Raw genomic sequence first — 17,067 nt, 5'->3', positions numbered from 1 at the left:
GTAGACATCTGCAAATAAAGACAATTTTACTTTTTCCTTCCTAATTGTATACCTTTTATTTCCTTTTCTTGCCTGATTTCATTACCTAGGACTTCTAGTATAACACTGAAAAGGAATGATGAGGGGGACATCTGATTCCTGATTTTGCGAGGAAGCTTTGAGTTTCTCACCATTACGTATAATATTCATTGTAGGTTTTTAGATAGATGTGCTTTTCTTTATCAGGGTGAGCAAGTTTCCCCCATTCATAGTCTGGTGAGAGTTTTTATCATGAATGGGTATTGGATTTTGTCCAATACTTTTCCTGCGCCTATTTATATGATCACATAATTTTTTTCTTCTTTAGCCTGTTGATGCGATAGATTATATGAATGGATTTTTGAATGTTGAACCAGCTTTGCATAACTGGGATAAATCCTAGTTGGTAATGATGTATACTTATTTTTACACATTGTTAATTTGATTTGCTAAAATTTTGTTAAGGATTTTTGCATTTATGTTTATGACAGGTATTTGTTGTAGTTTTTTCCTGGAATATCTTTGTCTGGTTTTGGAATTAGGGTAATGCTGGCTTCGTAGAATGAATTGCAAAGTCTTCCCTCTGGTATAATTTCTTATTTAAAAATTTGGTAGGACTCACCAGCAAACCCACTGGGCCTGATGCTTTGTTTTGGATGGTTATTAATTATCGATTCAATTTCTTTAATAGATATAGGCCTATTACAATTGTCTGTTTCTTCTTAAAAGAGATTTGGCAGATTGTGTCTTTCAAGGAAATGGTTCATTTCATCTAGGTTATCAAATTTGTGGGCACACAGTCGTTCATAATATTCCTTTGTTATTCTTTTAATGTTCATGGGATTTGTAGTGATGTTCTCTCTTTCATTTCTGATACTGGTAATTTTTTTTTCTTAGCCTAGCTACAGAGGCTTATCAATTTTATCGATCTTTTCAAAGAACCAGCTTATAATTTTGTCGATTTTCTCTACTGATTTTCTTTCCAATTTTATTGATTTCTACTGTAATTTTGTTATTTCTTATCTTCTGCTTTCTTTGGATTTAATTTGCTCCTCTTTTGCTAGTTTCCTAAAGTGGACTGTGAACTTCATAGGAGCTTCTCAGTTGCCCCCCATCCCTTAGATAGGACAGGATGGTTACAGGTAACTGGTGTTAGGTATTTCCCTTCCCCTGGGTAGGTTAGGTTCTGATAAAACCCCAGCATTTAGGCTCTGATAAAATAGTTCCTCCTCAGGGTAGGCCTTGTAATAAGAAGAATGCTCTGGCACGTTTCAAAGTGGTTGCTTTTCTCCTCCCTGTGAGAGAAGCATAAGGGAATTTTTCTCTGATCCTTGCTTTGAGAAGCTGGGAGAGTGCCTGTAGTTACACCTCATAGAAGTATAAGAGCCCTTCTATACCTGGGTCTTCCTGGAGTTTTTAACTCCATCTTTTCCACACTCAACCTCCGGCAATTTGCCAGTTACAATTCAGCTTTTCCCATGCTGGCACTGGCGCCCGTGGAGGTTTCTGCTCAAGAGTTTCTGCTGTGATAAAAGTAGATTCATTGCATCCACATGTCTGTCTCTCCAATTTGGGGACAGCAGCTTACCCTGTGTCCTCACTTTTCTGATAGATCTAAGAAGAACTGTTGATTTTTCAGTTTGACAGTTTTTTGAATTGTTTTTAGGATACAGTGGCAGCTTCAAGGCTCCTTTTGCACTGAAGTGAAAACTGGAAATCCTATGTTCCCTTTTAAACACTGGCACACTCTAATAAGAACAACTTAATGAGAGTTGACCCCGTTCACAAATTTCCCCTGCCTCAAATTGCCCTACATGTGCAGGAGTAGTCTTCAGACAGCCCAGTCCACACATAGGATGGGCACTGACCAAACTTCAGCAACTTGGAAAATCTACCCTGAGAATTGGGTCAGAGAGTCCATTTTCCCCAGTAGATCATCTTCCACCTCCTCGTGAAGATCAAAAAACAGAAGTTAATCTCCAGAGAGAAAAAAAGAATGAATCAGAAAGAAAAGAGATGCAAGACAGAGAGCCAGGATGATTTTTCTGTTCCTGGGTAAAGTCACAAGCCTGGTCTCTAGCCGTGCATCCTTTTAATAGACTCCTCTTTTCCACTTAGGTTCCCCAAGAAAATGTCTCTTTCTCTTTGCCATCAATAAGTCAAACTCAGTGAGAGTGAATCTGTCCATAAACTCTGGTGGGGATGAATACCACATTTCCATATCTCCTGAGCTCCTGGAAAGTAATTTGTCACCAGGGTGGCACCAAGGTCCAGAATTTTACCTAGAGCCCAGTCAACAAGGAAGAGCCAGCTGCCAAGGCCAGGGAAGCCAGAGTAGCCACATCTCAGCACTCCAGGGAGCATGAATTGCGGTAAAGTCAATGAGAGTAGTATCCTCAAATTTTGCCAACTAAGGATTCAGCATTAAATAAACCACACCCAGGAACAAGCAAAAAGACTGTTTCCTGGAAGAGAAAACTAGATCTGGAAGGAAACAAGAAAGCACCACCAAGCTGGGAGAGGATACATGTCAAAAACAGCCCCTAGGGTAAGGGACTACATATGCCTTTCTTTTGGCTGTGTCTGCAGAGAGGACAGATGTGTCATGGGAGACTACAGCCAAGAAGAGAACTGCAATGAATAACAGGGAGTCTAAGGAATCTTGGGATTCAAGAGAGGTCCAGGAAACTACAAAAAGACTATAGAGTGGAGTCTCTTGGTCTCACAAAAGTCTAGGCTCTGTCTGCTCTGTTTCTCCTCCCAGATCAGACAGCTTCAGCCGAGAAAGGGATAGAGGAGGAGGTCAGAACAACATCCTAGTGATGTCACCATGCAGTCTGTTGGATTTGGTCACCTTCAACTCAACCACAAAGTGGCAGGACATTTAATTTAAATATTCATTTGTGCTTAGTCACCTTATGGTATTCCCTTTCTGTTTCAGGAGGCAGAGGGTCTCTTAATCATCAAAAATTTTCCTGGTTGGCAGACAGAAACTACTGGAAGTTTCTTCCAGTTTTCATGACCTACATAGTCATTGAAGGGGTCATTCTTGTTATCTGGGTGGAGGCAGAGGCAGAGAGGAAAGATCATGTATTAGTACTTCATTCCTTTTTAAATACCAAATAATATTCCACTGTATGGCTGTACCTCATTTTGTTTATCCATTCATCACTTGATGGATATTTGAGTTGTTTCCGTTTTTGACTATTATAAATCATGTTGCTTTTTACATTGATATGCAAGTTTTGTGTGGACATATGTTTTTATTTTTCATTTTTCTGGTGTACATACATGAGAGTAGAATTGATGGGTCATATGAAAACTCTATAATTAACATCTGAGATTCTACCAAACTGTTCTCTCCACCATTTAAAATCATGCCAGCAATATATGAGGATTCCAGTTCCTCCACATCCTTGCCAATACTTGTTAATGTTTACTTTCTAAATTTCAGCCAACCTAGTGGGCAGTTTTCTCATTGAAAATTTGATTTGTGTTTCCCTAATGAAAAATGAATAACATTGAAAATCATTTAATATGTTTATTGGTAATCATATATCTTCTTTGGAAAAAATGTATATACAGATCTTTTCCCCATTGAAAAAATGGGTTGTCTATTAGTTGAGCTGTAAGAGTTCTTTATATATTCTTGACACAAGCCTTTTATCAGATATATCATTTCAAATATTTTCTCCTATTCTGTAGGTAGTCTTTTCATTTTCTCGATGGTATCCCTGGAAGCACAAAATATTATATTTTGAGAAAGTTCAATTTAGTTTCTTTGGTTGCTTATGCTTTTTGGGGTCATACCTAAAAAATCACTACCTAACTTAAAGTCATAAATATTTACTTCTCTATTTCTTCTGAATTTTATAATTTTAGCTCTTACATTTATGTCTATGATCAATTTTGAATTAGGTTTTGTATATGGCATGTTGAACACATTAAACTTTTAATTTTTGCTGTGGACATCCAGTTTTCCCAACACCATTTATTGAAAAGACTTTTATTTTACCCAATAAATTTTCTTGGCATCATGATTAAAAATCATTTGACCATAAATACGAAAATTTATTTTTAGATGATCAATTCTGTCCCAGTGATTCATATGTCTATCTTTATGACCGTGCCATGCTGTCTTGATTACCACAGCTTTGTAGAACATTTTGAAACTGGGAAGTGTAAGTCCTCCAAATTTGTTCTTCTTTTTCAAGATTATTTTGGCTCTTCTGGCTCTCTTGTATTTTCTTATGACTTTAGGATAAGCTTGTCAATTTCTGCCCAAAAGAGGTAGCTAGGATTTTGATGGAGACTACATTGAACCTATAAATCCATTTGGGAAATATTGCTGTCTTAGCAATATTAAGTCTTTCAATCTGTGAACATGGGGTGCTTCTTCATCTATTTAAGTTTGCCTTAATTCCTTTCAGTGACAATTTTTAGTTTTCAGTGTACAAGTCTTGAACTTGTATAATTCTTTGATTAAATTTATCCTAAATTATTTTCTTTTTAATTCTATTAGAATAGAATTGTTTTTCTTAATTTCATTTTCACATTGTTCATTGTTAGTGCCTAGAAATACAACTGATTTTTGTATATTGACCTGGTATCCTGCAAAGTAGGAGAACTTGTTTGCTAGTTCTAATAGTTTTAAAAATATATTATTTCTAGCATTTTCATGTCATCTAGAATAGAAATAGTTTTACTTCTTTCTATCTACTCTGAAAGCATTTTATTTCTCTTTCTTGCTTGATTGCCCAGGCTAGAATTTCCAGTACAATGTTAAATAGAAGTAAACATCCTTGTTTTGTTCACGATCTTATGTGGAAAGTATTCAGTCTTTTACCATTAAGTACAATATGACTTCTGAATTTTTCATAGGCTTCTTTATTTGGAAGAGGAATTTGTATTCTGTTTGTTGAGTGTTTTTTTTTTAAAGAAAGGCTGTTGGATTTTGTCCAATGCTTTTTCTGTGTCTATTCAAATTATCATGTGATTTTTGTTCTTTATTTTATTAATATGGTGTACTAAGTTGATTGATTTTTTAATGTTAAGCCAACATTTATCCTGGGGAAATTCCCATGTGGTCATGGTCATTCTCATCCTTTTTACATATTCTGGATGTGAATTGCTAGTAATTCAGAATTTTTGTGTCAATATTCACAATGGATATCAGTCTGTAGTTTTCTTATGCTGTCTTTGTCTGGTTTTAGCACTGGGGGTAATATTGTCCTTATAGACTAAGTGGGTAAATTCCTTACCACTTTGAAAGAGTGGGGGAGATGAGTATTCTACTTTTTGAAAGAGTATGTAGGAGACGAGTATTCTTTTTTGCATAATTGGTAGAATTTGCCAGTGAAGCCACCTGGGCCTAGAATTTCCTTTGTGAGAAGTTTTCAAATTATTAACTCAATGTCTGTACTTTTAATAGATCTATTTATATTTTCTATTTCTTCCTGAGTCAATTTTAGCACTTGGCATCTTTATAGGAATTTGTCCATTTTATCCAGATTATCTAATTTGTTGGCATAGAGTTTGTTTGTTTCGTTTTGTTTTGTTTTTGAGATGGAGTTTCACTCTTGTTGCCCAGGCTGGAGTGCAATGGCACAATATTGGCTCACTGCAACCTCCATCTCCTGAGTTCAAGCGATTTTCCTGCCTCAGCCTCCTGAGTAGCTGGAATTACAGGCATGTGCCACACGCCCAGCTAATTTTTGTATTTTTAGTAGAGACAGGGTTTCTCCATGTTGGTCAGGCTGGTCTCGAACTCCCAACCTCAGGTGATCTGCCCACCTCAGCCTCCCAAAGTGCTGGAATTATAGGTGTGTGCCACCGTGCCAGGCCCGGCATACAGTCTTTATACTTTCCCTTATAATCTTTTTATTTCTGTGAGGTTGGCTTTTTATTTTAAGACTTGAGTCTTCTCTTTTTTTTTTCTTGCATAGTCTACCTAATGCTTTATATACCTAATGGTCAATTAGGTCTATTTGTGTCACAGTGTTGTTAAAATGTTCTATTTCCTTCTTAGTATTCAGCCTAGTTGTTCTATTCACTATTGAAAGGGAGATATTAAAGTTTCCAACTATTGCTGAGTTGTCTATTTCTCCCTTCTGTCAGTTTGCTTCATGTATTTTAAAATTTGTGTTGTTAGGTACAGATATGTTTATTATTATTGTGTTTTCCAGAGGGATCACTACCACTTTGTCACTTATCCTTTGTGTTTAGTAACAAGTTTTGTCTTAAAAACTATTTTTCTTGATATTGGTATAGACACTTCAGCTCTATTTTGGCTACTGTTTGCATTGTATCCCTTTTTCCATCATTTTACTTTTAATGTATTTGGTTTTCAAATCTAAACTGTATCTCTTATAGACAGAATAGAATTGGATTATATTATTTCTTCTGCCAGTCACTGTCTTTTACCTGATGTATTAATTAATCATTTATATTTAATGTAGTTACTGATAAGGTGAGATTTATGTCTGCCATTTTGCTACTTGTTTTCCACATGCTTTATGTGGTTTCTGTCCCTGTACATGCCCATTAATATCTTATTATAGTAATATATATTTCTAGTGTACAACTTTAATTTCTTTGTTGTTCCTTTTACTATGTATTTTTTTAGTTATTTTTGAGTGGTTAATAACATAGTAACAATATCTTTCAGATTAAACTAACTTAATTGTAATGGTATTCAAAAGCTTCATTTAAATATAGCTCCATTCTCCTTTCATTGTGCATCATGGAAACTATATACATTAAAAGCTCATCAACAAAGTTTTATAATTATTGCTATGTGGAGTTGTCTTTTAAATCAGAAAGTAAAGTGTTACAAACTCATGCGGATTCAAGTTACTAATAAATATCACTTAATTTCAGCCTGCAATACTTCCTTCAGTGTTTCTTGGGGAGCAGGTCATCTACCACTGAACTTTCTCAGTTTTGTTTTTGGGGTTTTTTTGAGACAGAGTCTTGCTCTGTTGCCCAGGTGGGAGTGCAGTGGTGTGATCTCAGGTCACTGCAACTTCTGCCTTGCAGGTTCAAATGATTCTCCTGCCTCAGCCTCCCACGTAGCTGGGACTACAGGTACCTGCCACCACACCCAGCTAATTTTTAGTAGAGATGGGGTTTCACCATGTCTGCCAGGCTGGTCTCAAACTCCTGACCTCAAGTGATCCTCCTGCCTCAGCCTCCCAAAGTGCTGGGATTACAGGCATGAGCCACCACACCTGGCCTCAGTTTTTTAAAATCTACAGCAGCTTTAATTTATCCTTTATATATAAAAGATAGTTTTGCTGGATATAGAATTCTTGATTGACATTCTTTTTCTTTTGGCACTTTGAATATGTCATTTCATTGCATTCTCATCTCTATGATTTTTTTATGGAAAGCTAGCTATTAATCTTATTATAGATCACTTGCATGTAATGAGTCATTTTTCTCTGTCTTCAGTATTCCTTATTTGTCTTTTAACAGTTTTGCCTATTATATGTGTAAGTGTAGATTTCTTTCAGTTTATCTAATTTGATATTCTTGGATATGAACATAAATGCTTCCATCAAAATTGGGATGTTTTGGTCATTGTTTTCCTCAAGTATTCCTTCTCCTCCTTTTTCTCATTTCTCTCATTCTTGGACTGCCTTTATGGGTAGGTTGGTGTGCTTGATGGTGTCCCATAGGTATTTATGACTGTTAATTTTTCTTCATTCTTTTATATATTTCTGTTTCCCAGGCTGCATAATCTGAATTGACCTATTTTCAAACTCATTGATTCTTTCTTCTGTAAGATTAAATCTTCTGTTGAAACCCTCTAAGAAATTTTACATTTCATTATGATAGTTTTATTTATGTTTTGATTAATTAATTAATTAATTTTGAGACAGAGTCTTGCTCTGTCATCCAGGCTGGAGTGCAATGGTGTGATCTTGGCTCACAGCAACCTCTGCCTCCCAGCTTCAAGCAATTCTTCTGCCTCAGCCTCCCAAGTAGGTGGGATTATAGACACCTGCCACCACGCCTGGCTAATTTTTTGTATTTTTAGTAGAGATGGGATTTCTCCATGTTGGCCAGGCTGGTCTTGAACTCCTAACCTCAGGTAATCCACCTGATTTGGCCTCCCAAAGTTCTGGGATTACAGGCATGAGCCACTGCACCTGGCCTCATCTTATCTTAAGCTAAAACTTAAGATAGTTTTAGCTCTACAGTTGCCATTTGATTCTTTTATTATTCTCCAGATGGAAATTAAGAGAAATAAAGTGAAAAATGGAAAATTTGGGGCAAAGTTTAATGTGGAAGGACTCTCACAATGACCTTACGGTTTTTATTCTCTGGCTTGGCCAAAATGTAAATGGAAGTGGATGTGTCAGCCTCTTTACTCCATTCTCTGGCCAACTGTCCCTTTTTTAGTCCTGAAGAGGAAGACTTATTTCCTTCCTCAGCTTACTTCTTCCTATCTGCGAGTCTATTTCCTTTGAAAATGGTAAACTTTCTGTTAGCAAATGCTAAATGTGAGCAAAAGTGTTTCTTTCCCACACTTGAATCTTCAGTGGCTAGGCCACTGCCCAGTAAATACTAGCTGCTCAACAATTTTTTATTAAATAAAATGCACTATCTTTGTGGGTACATTCCCTTATAATTTAACTTATTAAAATTTTACCACCAGAATAGTAGGTTGACAATCCCTATGAATCTACCTTTCCATCAGAGCAATAAACACAGTAGCCAAAATTGTCAAAAAATCAGTTATTTAAGAGATCTTGAAATTAACCAAAGGTTTACAGTAATCTGAGGAGAGTTTGTTCCAGAAAAACTGCTGAAAGTGGGAAAGAACAGAGGGTTTATGGCATTGTAACATAATCTAGCCCCATATCCCTCTGTCTAGCTATACAATAGACTTGAAAACTATCTGGAGAATAATACAATTCTTAAAATAAAAAGTCTACAGTATGCCTTGATCAGAACAGCAGAAAAGGACCAATATGTACAGAGGAAAAAACTATTCTATTGCTAGATTTAGGGACACTGAAATGTCAAGTATAAAAAGTAGGTGACAGGAAGCAGAAAATAAAGCTAGAAAGATAAAAAAGACAATAGGCTGGATGCTATAGGTGTCTCCTTAATAGAAAAGGGTGCTTAGGGACAGCCATGGATGGATAATTTGTTTCAGGGGTTTAACTGGCCACAGGTCTCTGTATTTCCATGATTCAGGGGGTGTATGAGTCACTCTAATTTCATTTTAAAGTGATTTCACTTTCACCAATTCAATATTGCAAAAATACACGGATTGCTTCCTTACAATTTGACAGAAAGTATTTCTGCATCTTTATTAAATGACCAGATCTTTTCCTCAGTAATAAATCGTATTAAAAGCATTGGAGAAAGTGTCAAGGCCAGCTTAATCTAAGAAACATCATCCAGCAATAACACAAGTGCTGTGATGTTACCTAAACGTCCTCAGCAGAAACTCAATTTCCTTCCTCTAGGATGTATTCAGTTTCCTTGCTTGTGGCCTTGTTCACACCCAGAGGCTGTATTACGGTCTGGTTCAAGATAAGCTGATTCCATTACTGGCCTATGGAGAACTCAATACAACGCTATAGGATGGAGACAGAAATTTACAGAAGAATGACAAAGAAATGCAAAATCTATGAACAGAAATAATTTGGGGATAAGCACAAAGCCACCAAGTCAATAATCCTTAATGTTAGAATCCATCCTGGAGGCGCAGACAGAAGGAAAGCTTTTCTCTGGCAATTGAAAATATCCAGACCCCCGCAATTCTCTTTAACTGTAAACAGTCTATATTGCAAATGTCTTCACAGACCACCAAGGTACTCTAATGCAGACAGATGCTGTCAAACCAAACTGTGGTTTCTCATTTCCCTAGAGTAAAACCCCAATTGTTAATGTCTAACAAGAGGATACAAGCTGAATTACTAAAATGTTTAATGAATGTAATTTTTAAGATATGTGGTTTTATACATTTCTAGTACTCTCCAGAGCCAACAAAATTTGCCTCTTCATTTTCTCCTTTAAGCAAAATTCACTGCAGGATAGGCCAGGTGATGCTGTGGTGACAAACAACTTCCCAAATTGCTGCAATTCACATACAAAGTTTCCTGCTCACTCACGTAATATGCCGTCCAAGATCTGCAGGGATTCTGCTTCAAGCTGTCTGCATTCTTACTCTGGGACTCTGAGATGTGGGTTGATGGAACAGCTACCATCTGAAACATTGTCAGTGATGATGACACAGGAAAGAGTGTGAAGCAAAGGTTCTCCTGGCCCTCAAAGCCTTCACCTATAAGTGATACTCTTTCCTGCTTGCATTTCGTTACCCATATGAGATATATGAATAAGCCAAATTGCAAAGAGGTCTTGGGTGTTGGAGAACAATAGCACAGCCAGCCCAGCACACACACCCTGTTACACATTGTATTCTGTGCTTCACACTGGAGCTAGAGCCAGACTTGGTCTTACCTCCACAGGTCTACAGTCTAGTGAAAATACAAACAAGAGACCCCTCTGTGCTGAGATTCCCTGCCTGCCTGGTGGGTGGGCAGAGCCAGCAGAAGGATGTCACTATGACAAGTAGCCCAGCCCAGGAAACCTCTTTGTCCCCACTGGCCTGAGATTCCCATCCTACTCCAAGAGACACTCCATAGCCCAACCTGGGAGAACCTGTTCCGTCCCTCAAACAGCACCAGCAGGGAGTGGGATTCCCAGCCCTCATAGATAAACAAAGACCAAAGTCTCTGAAATATAACTGATTTAAAACCACAGCCCACAAAAGTAATCCAGGACCTGAGTGCTTAACCTAAACAGAGTGACTGCCAGCTAAAATAAAAAAAAGAAATTAAAAAAAATTAACAGACTCCAGAGTTTCTTAATATAATAGACAAAATGTTCCGGATACAATAAAATATCACCCATTTTGCCAAGAACCAAGAAAATCACAATTTGGATAAGAAAAGACAGTCAACTGACAGCAACACTGAGATGAGCAAGATTTGGAATTATCTGATGAAGATTTTAAAACAGTTGTAATAAAAATGCTTCAACAATCAATTATAAATTCGGTTAAACAAATAAAAACAATTTTAAAAATCTCAGCAAAGAAACAGAAGTTACACAAAAGGACCAAATGGAAATTAGAGAACTAAGAAATACAATAACAGAAACTTAAAAAAAAGACAACTTCCTAGATGGGTTTAATTGTAGAATGGAGATGACAGAGGATAGAATCGCTGAACTTGAGGATATAATTTGCCTAATTTGAGTAACCAATCTGAACAATCAGAAAATATCCTTAATAAATATTAAGGATATTCTCAGGGACCTATGGAACTGTAAAATAGATCTAACATTTCTGTCATCAGAGTCTCAGATGAAGAGGAGAAAAGAGAGTGGGGCTGAAAGAAGGAGTAGACTGAAAACTTCTGAAGTTTGGCAACACACACAATCCTATGGATTCAAGAATCTGAGTGAATCCCAAATATGATAAGCCCAAGAAATCCATACCAAAGACAAAGAAAAAACATTTTGAAAGAAACTAGAGAAAAATGACAAATCACCCATAGGGGAAGAATGATGGAAATGACAGTAGATTTCTTATCTGAAACAGTGGAACCCAGAAGAAAATGGCACAACATTTTTCGTGTATTTGAAGTGAAAAGAAAATTCAACCACAGATTTTATGTCTGGGAACACTATCCTTCAGGAATGAAGAGAAAATAAAGACATTCTCAAATGAAAGAAAAATTTGTGCCTAGGAGACTTATCCTTAAAGATTGGATAATTTATCAAACAGCAAGGAACTGTAAGAGGGAATCCTGAAGCATCAGAAAAGAAGAAGAAACAACAGAAATGAAAATATGGAAGCCGGGCATGGTGGCACACGCCTGTGGTCTCAGCTACTCACAAGGCTGAGGCAGGTCAAGGCTGCGGTGAGCTATGATTGCACCACTGGACTCCAGCCTGGGTGACAGAACAGGACTGTGTCTAAAAAAATTTTTTTAAAGAAATAAAAATATGAGTACATGCAATAGACTATCCTCCTTATGATTTTTCTAAATCACATTTGATGATTGAAACAAAAACATTAACACCGTAAAATACTCAAGCCAGCCGGGCATGGTGGCTTATGCCTGTAATCCCAGCATTTTGGGAGGCTAAGGCAGGAGGATCACTTGAGCCCATGAGTTCCAGACCAATGGGGACAACACAGCAAGAACTTTTTTCCCACTAAAAACAAGCTATACAAAGAAATATATTCAAAACACAGAAACACTAACAATACAGCCGGGCGCGGTGGCTCACGTCTGCAATCCCAGCACTTTGGGAGGCCGAGGCGGGCGGATCACAAGGTCAGGAGATTGAGACCATCCTGCCTAACACGGTGAAACCCCGTCTCTACTAAAAATACAAAAAAATTAGCTGGGCGTGGTGGCGGGTGCCTGTAGTCCCAGCTACTCAGGAGGCTGAAGCAGGAGAATGGCGTGAACCCGGGAGCGGAGCTTGCAGTGAGCCGAGATCATGCCACTGCACTCCAGCCTGGGTGACAGAGCAAGACTCCGTATAAAAAACAAAACAAAACAAAAAAAACACTAACAACACATCAAGGTAGAATCCAAAACAATTATTCAAATAACCTAAGGAAGGTAAGAAAATAAACAGAGGAATGAGAACCAGAAATCAAACAGAAAACAAATAATTAAAAAGGTAGACTTAAGCACCAACATATAAATACTTATCAATATCAATAATTTAAACAGCAATAAAAAGAGATTGGCAGATATAGTTAGACTGAAAGGGTCAATGATTAAACAAAGTGGTTCATCCATACCATGAAATACTACTCAGGAATGAAAAGGAATGAATTATTGATATACACAATGACTTAATGGATCCCAGGACAATTAGGCTAAGTGAAAAAAAAATCCCAAATGTTTCATACTGTATGTTTCCATTTCCATATCATTTTTTGAAATAAAACTTTAGAATTGGAGAACAGTGGTTGCCAGAGGTTGAAGGCTGGGGTGGCAATGGGGAATCCTATGGGGAAGTGGATTTAGGTATAATAGGGCAACACAAGCCGTTCTAGTGGTGATGAAAATTTCAGTATTTTGATTGTGGTGGTGGAAACACAACCCTACACGTGATAAAATTGTGTAGAACTAAACACCATATGCACGGACATACACACATGCACAAATGAGTATAAACAAAACTGGGGAAATCTGAGATCGATGGGGGATTGTATCAATGTCAATATCTTGGTTGTGATATTACACTATAAATTTGCAAAATATTACCATTACAGAAAACTGGGAAAGTGAATATGGGATCTCTATATATTACTTCTTCTTTATTTTATTTTGTTTTGAGACAGGGTCTCACTCTTACCCACGATGGAGTGCAGTTGCATGATCACAGCTCACTGCAGCCTCAGTCTCCTGGGCTCAAGTGATCCTCCTGCCTCAGCCTCCTGAGTAGCTGGGATTATGGGCACGTGCCACTAATTCGGCTAATTTATTTTTTATTTTTTTACTTTTTATGGAGACAGGGTCTTGCTGTGTTGCCCAGGATGGTCTTGAACTCCTGGGCTCAAGGGATCCTTTTGCCTTGGCCTCCCAAAATGCTGGGATTACAGGCATGAGCTATTGTGCCCTGCCTGTATTATTTCTTATAATTGCATATGAATCTGGAATTAGATCGATACAAATTTCAATTAAAAATAATTTGCTTCCTGACTTTTTAATGATCGCCATTCTAACTGGTGTGAAATGGTGTCTCATTGTGGTTTTGATTTGCATTTCTCTAATGACCAGTGGTGATGAGCTTTTTTTCATATGTTTGTTGGCCACATAAATGTCTTCTTTTGAGAAGTGTCTGTTCATATTCTTCACTCACTTTTTGATGGGGTTGATTTTTTCTTGTAAATTTGTTTAAGTTCCTTGTAGATTCTGGATATTAGCCCTTTGTCAGATGGATAGATTGCAAAACTTTTCTCCCATTCTGTAGGCTGCCTGTTCACTCGTGATAGTTTCTTTTGCTGTGCAGAAGCTCTTTAGTTTAATTAGATCCCATTTGTCAATTTTGGCTTTTGTTGCCATTGCTTTTGATGTTTTAGGCCAATGCCTATGTGCTGAATGGTATTGCCTAGGTTTTCTTCTAGGGTTTTCATGGTTTTAGGCCTTATGTTAAGTCTTTTTTTTTTTTTTTTTTTTTTTTTGAGACAGAGTTTCACTCTTGTTGCCCAGACTAGAGTGCAATGGTGCAATCTCGGCTCACTGCAACCTCTGCCTCCCAGATTCAAGCAATTCTCCTGCCTCAGCCTCTCGAGTAGCTGGGATTACAGGCATGTGCCACCATGCCCGGCTAGTTTTGTATATTTTGTAGAGACAGGGTTTCTCCATGTTGGTCAGGCTGGTCTCAAACTCCCAACCTCAGGTGATCCACTCACCTCGGCCTCCCAAATTGCTGGGATTACGGGTGTGAGCCACCCAGCCTGGCCACATTTAAGTCTTTAATCCATTTTGAGTTAATTTTTGTATAAGGTGTAAGGAAGGCTGAAGCTGGAAGCCATCATTCTCAGCAAACTAACACAGGAACAGAAAACCAAACACTGCATGTTCTCACTCGTAAGTGGGAGTTGAACAATGAGAACACATGGACACAGGGAGGGGAACATCACACACGAGGGCCTGTCGCGGGGGTGGGGGGCTAGGGGAGGGATAACATTAGGAGAAATACCTAATGTAGATGACGGGTTGATGGGTGCAGCAAACCACCATGGCACGTGTATACCTATGTAACAAACCTGCAGGTTCTGCACATGTATCCCAGAACTTAAAGTATAATAAAAAATAATAATAATTTGCATGTTCAGAGTTTTAAAACATGAGCACACACTCATCTACACGTACAGAGTGCAGCTTGCAATCTTCCTTCTTTATTGAAACAGTAATTTCCTTGGGGAGTTCATTGCTTCTCACATTGTCCCTGCCCTCTCCCCTCTGGAGTCTGTAAAATGTTTGGACAAAGAGAGGCACTGCAGAAAGCACACCTGGACGCGTGCCTCCGCCCCTGCTTTTGTCTTCAGCTCTGATTACCGCTGCTCAGGCTCTGAGTCGGCGTGAGCTGGCTCATTAGGAGCGTTAACACCACAGCCCTGACTAAGCCCAAATTTGGCAAGTCAAGAGAAAAAGCACAGAAAAAGGAAAGCCAAAACTGCAGGGAGGCAGGACTGAGGAAGAAGGATCTGAAGCCAATGCTGCACACGGCAACAGAGCTGCTCTCACGGGTCGTTTAGAGGCCACTGGCTCTTTCCCTGGCAGCAGGAAGCAGCAGAAGGAAGAACACTGCGCGTTCAGCCACATCTTTGTGATTAATTATAATCTTCCATCTTAACCCGCAGGCTGCAGGGGTTGTATGTGCCTTTCAGGACACACAAAAGGCACAGCTCTCCCCTGCTGCCACTTAAATTCTCCAGGAGACTAAACAGGTTAGGCCAGTGACTCGGTGTGTGTGTGTATATATATATAAAACACTGGTGCAAGATCATGTCATCATGAGGGGAGTACTGTTATTAATCACCTGTATACATTTGGTAGTTTATCAGTATTGACAGACATTAAGGGTATGGTTTAGTCAATCTGTACTCTATAATTAGGGCAGCAGCCTCTTCTCTGGGGTAGACATTGGTTTAAGACAAGGGAGACCTGAGCCTGGGTAAGGGAAACCACCGTCAGGAGTATGGGCTTCTCTGGGACTACCTGGGCAACCACTCCTGCTCACCCGCCAGCAAGCAGATATGGAGAGGAGCCTCACAGACCCTTGAAGTGGTGCATCTCCCTCTAAGGGAAGAGAGGTATTCACCTCAGTTCAGAGTCTGCTGTCCCTAAGATCTTCCCTGATCTGGCTTTTCCTCCCCTTTCGGCCATCAATTTCCCCTCTGCCCAGGCTGGACCCCATGGTCAGCACTGTAAACCACTAGACCCTCTGGGGGCCTTAGAATTGTTGCTTTCCAACCCAATTCTTTTCTGCATTTTCTTGCCCAAGGATTTCTGAAGAAAGTCACAAAGCTGTGTTATTTGGATTCCCAAAATTCATGCTAACTGTAATTTGGCCCTCAGAGTGACTGCACAGTGCTCAACTTTGTTCATCTTTTCTTGACTTTCCTGTGTATTGTCTAACGGGATGGTCCCTTCAAGCCCACAGGGACATTTCTGCCCCCTCCATTTTTATCAAATTACCATCCTCTCAGTTTTGTAAAATAGTCAAGAACAGCCAAGGAAAGCTCTCTCCACTTTCTCTTCTTTCCATCTTATCTCATGCCTTCTTATCTTCCCCTTTCTCCTCTCTTGCCACTTTCCTTTGCAGTCCAACCTGCACTTGGTGGGTCATCCGCTGTCGCCCAGCATTATCAGCCTCTCCCTTTCTCCCACATTTCCCTTTCCATCTACCACCCTATCCCCCATTCCCCATACAGATCCTGTATGGCCTCTGCCTCCCCACCCCCTGACTCCCTAGCCCTTGGTGGACAATTTTCACCTCCATTGCTCTACTGAGCAACTCACCCCAGCATCTCTCAGCACCAGGTCAGTCAAAGCCATTTTCTGGCTTAGCTGCCTTTCCTTTTACCGCACTTGTCACTGTGCCCATCTGCTTCGAGGAACTCTCTCTGGCCTTGTTTCTTGGGCACTTGCCTGGCTTGCAAACTTTACTGATGATTTCAGCTCTATTTCCTCTATGATTTTATTTCTTCCTGCAGACTAATTCATGAGATCTCTGGAAGCTTCTAATCTCACTAATTTCTCCTTTTCTGTTTGAATGTTCTTAGCAAACTCATCCACTCACAGGACTTCAGGGACCACTTTGGGCCTGGCTCCTGAGTCCCCATCTCAGACTCTGGCCCCTGCTTCTGCTCTGGTCTTTTATTTGGGGGTGTTGCCAGTCATCATCATGTGGAAATCCAAGTCCTTAGTGCCCATGTCTGAACTCACCATCTTTCACCCAAACCTGCTCTTCTCTGTGAATCCCGTTTAC

The 17,067-nt window shown here is 39.0% G+C and overlaps 1 long non-coding RNA gene across 3 annotated transcripts in view, besides 2 other annotated features; it reads left to right on the top strand.

Moving 5' to 3' along the window:
- The window catches only part of LINC02250 (long intergenic non-protein coding RNA 2250), a 122,536-nt gene that overhangs the window by 81,914 nt on the left and 23,555 nt on the right, over positions 1-17,067 (top strand). The window contains exon 4 of one of the 3 annotated variants that reach the window (NR_187216.1): positions 10,055-12,062. The exons of the other annotated variants lie outside the window; for them this stretch is intronic. This is a non-coding gene — a long non-coding RNA (long intergenic non-protein coding RNA 2250). Of the gene's footprint in view, positions 1-10,054; positions 12,063-17,067 lie in introns of those variants that run through there. 3 annotated transcript variants of the gene reach the window in all.
- Positions 15,017-15,311: a silencer, noted in NCBI's record as "tiled region #718; K562 Repressive non-DNase unmatched - State 24:Quies". NCBI's record gives its function as "represses a minimal TATA promoter and a strong SV40 promoter by Sharpr-MPRA in K562 cells {active_cell/tissue: K562}" and the evidence as "EXISTENCE:reporter gene assay evidence [ECO:0000049][PMID:27701403]".
- Positions 15,307-15,846: an enhancer, noted in NCBI's record as "NANOG-H3K27ac hESC enhancer chr15:25726194-25726733 (GRCh37/hg19 assembly coordinates)". NCBI's record gives its function as "activates a minimal SCP1, AML or CMV promoter by ChIP-STARR-seq in primed H9 embryonic stem cells {active_cell/tissue: H9 hESC(primed)}" and the evidence as "EXISTENCE:reporter gene assay evidence [ECO:0000049][PMID:30033119]".

Source organism: Homo sapiens, chromosome 15 (genome assembly GCF_000001405.40).
Source record: "Homo sapiens chromosome 15, GRCh38.p14 Primary Assembly".
Lineage (NCBI taxonomy): Eukaryota > Metazoa > Chordata > Mammalia > Primates > Hominidae > Homo > Homo sapiens.
The sequence above is the reverse complement of the archived record's forward strand: the minus strand, read 5'-3'. Positions and strand labels throughout refer to the sequence as shown.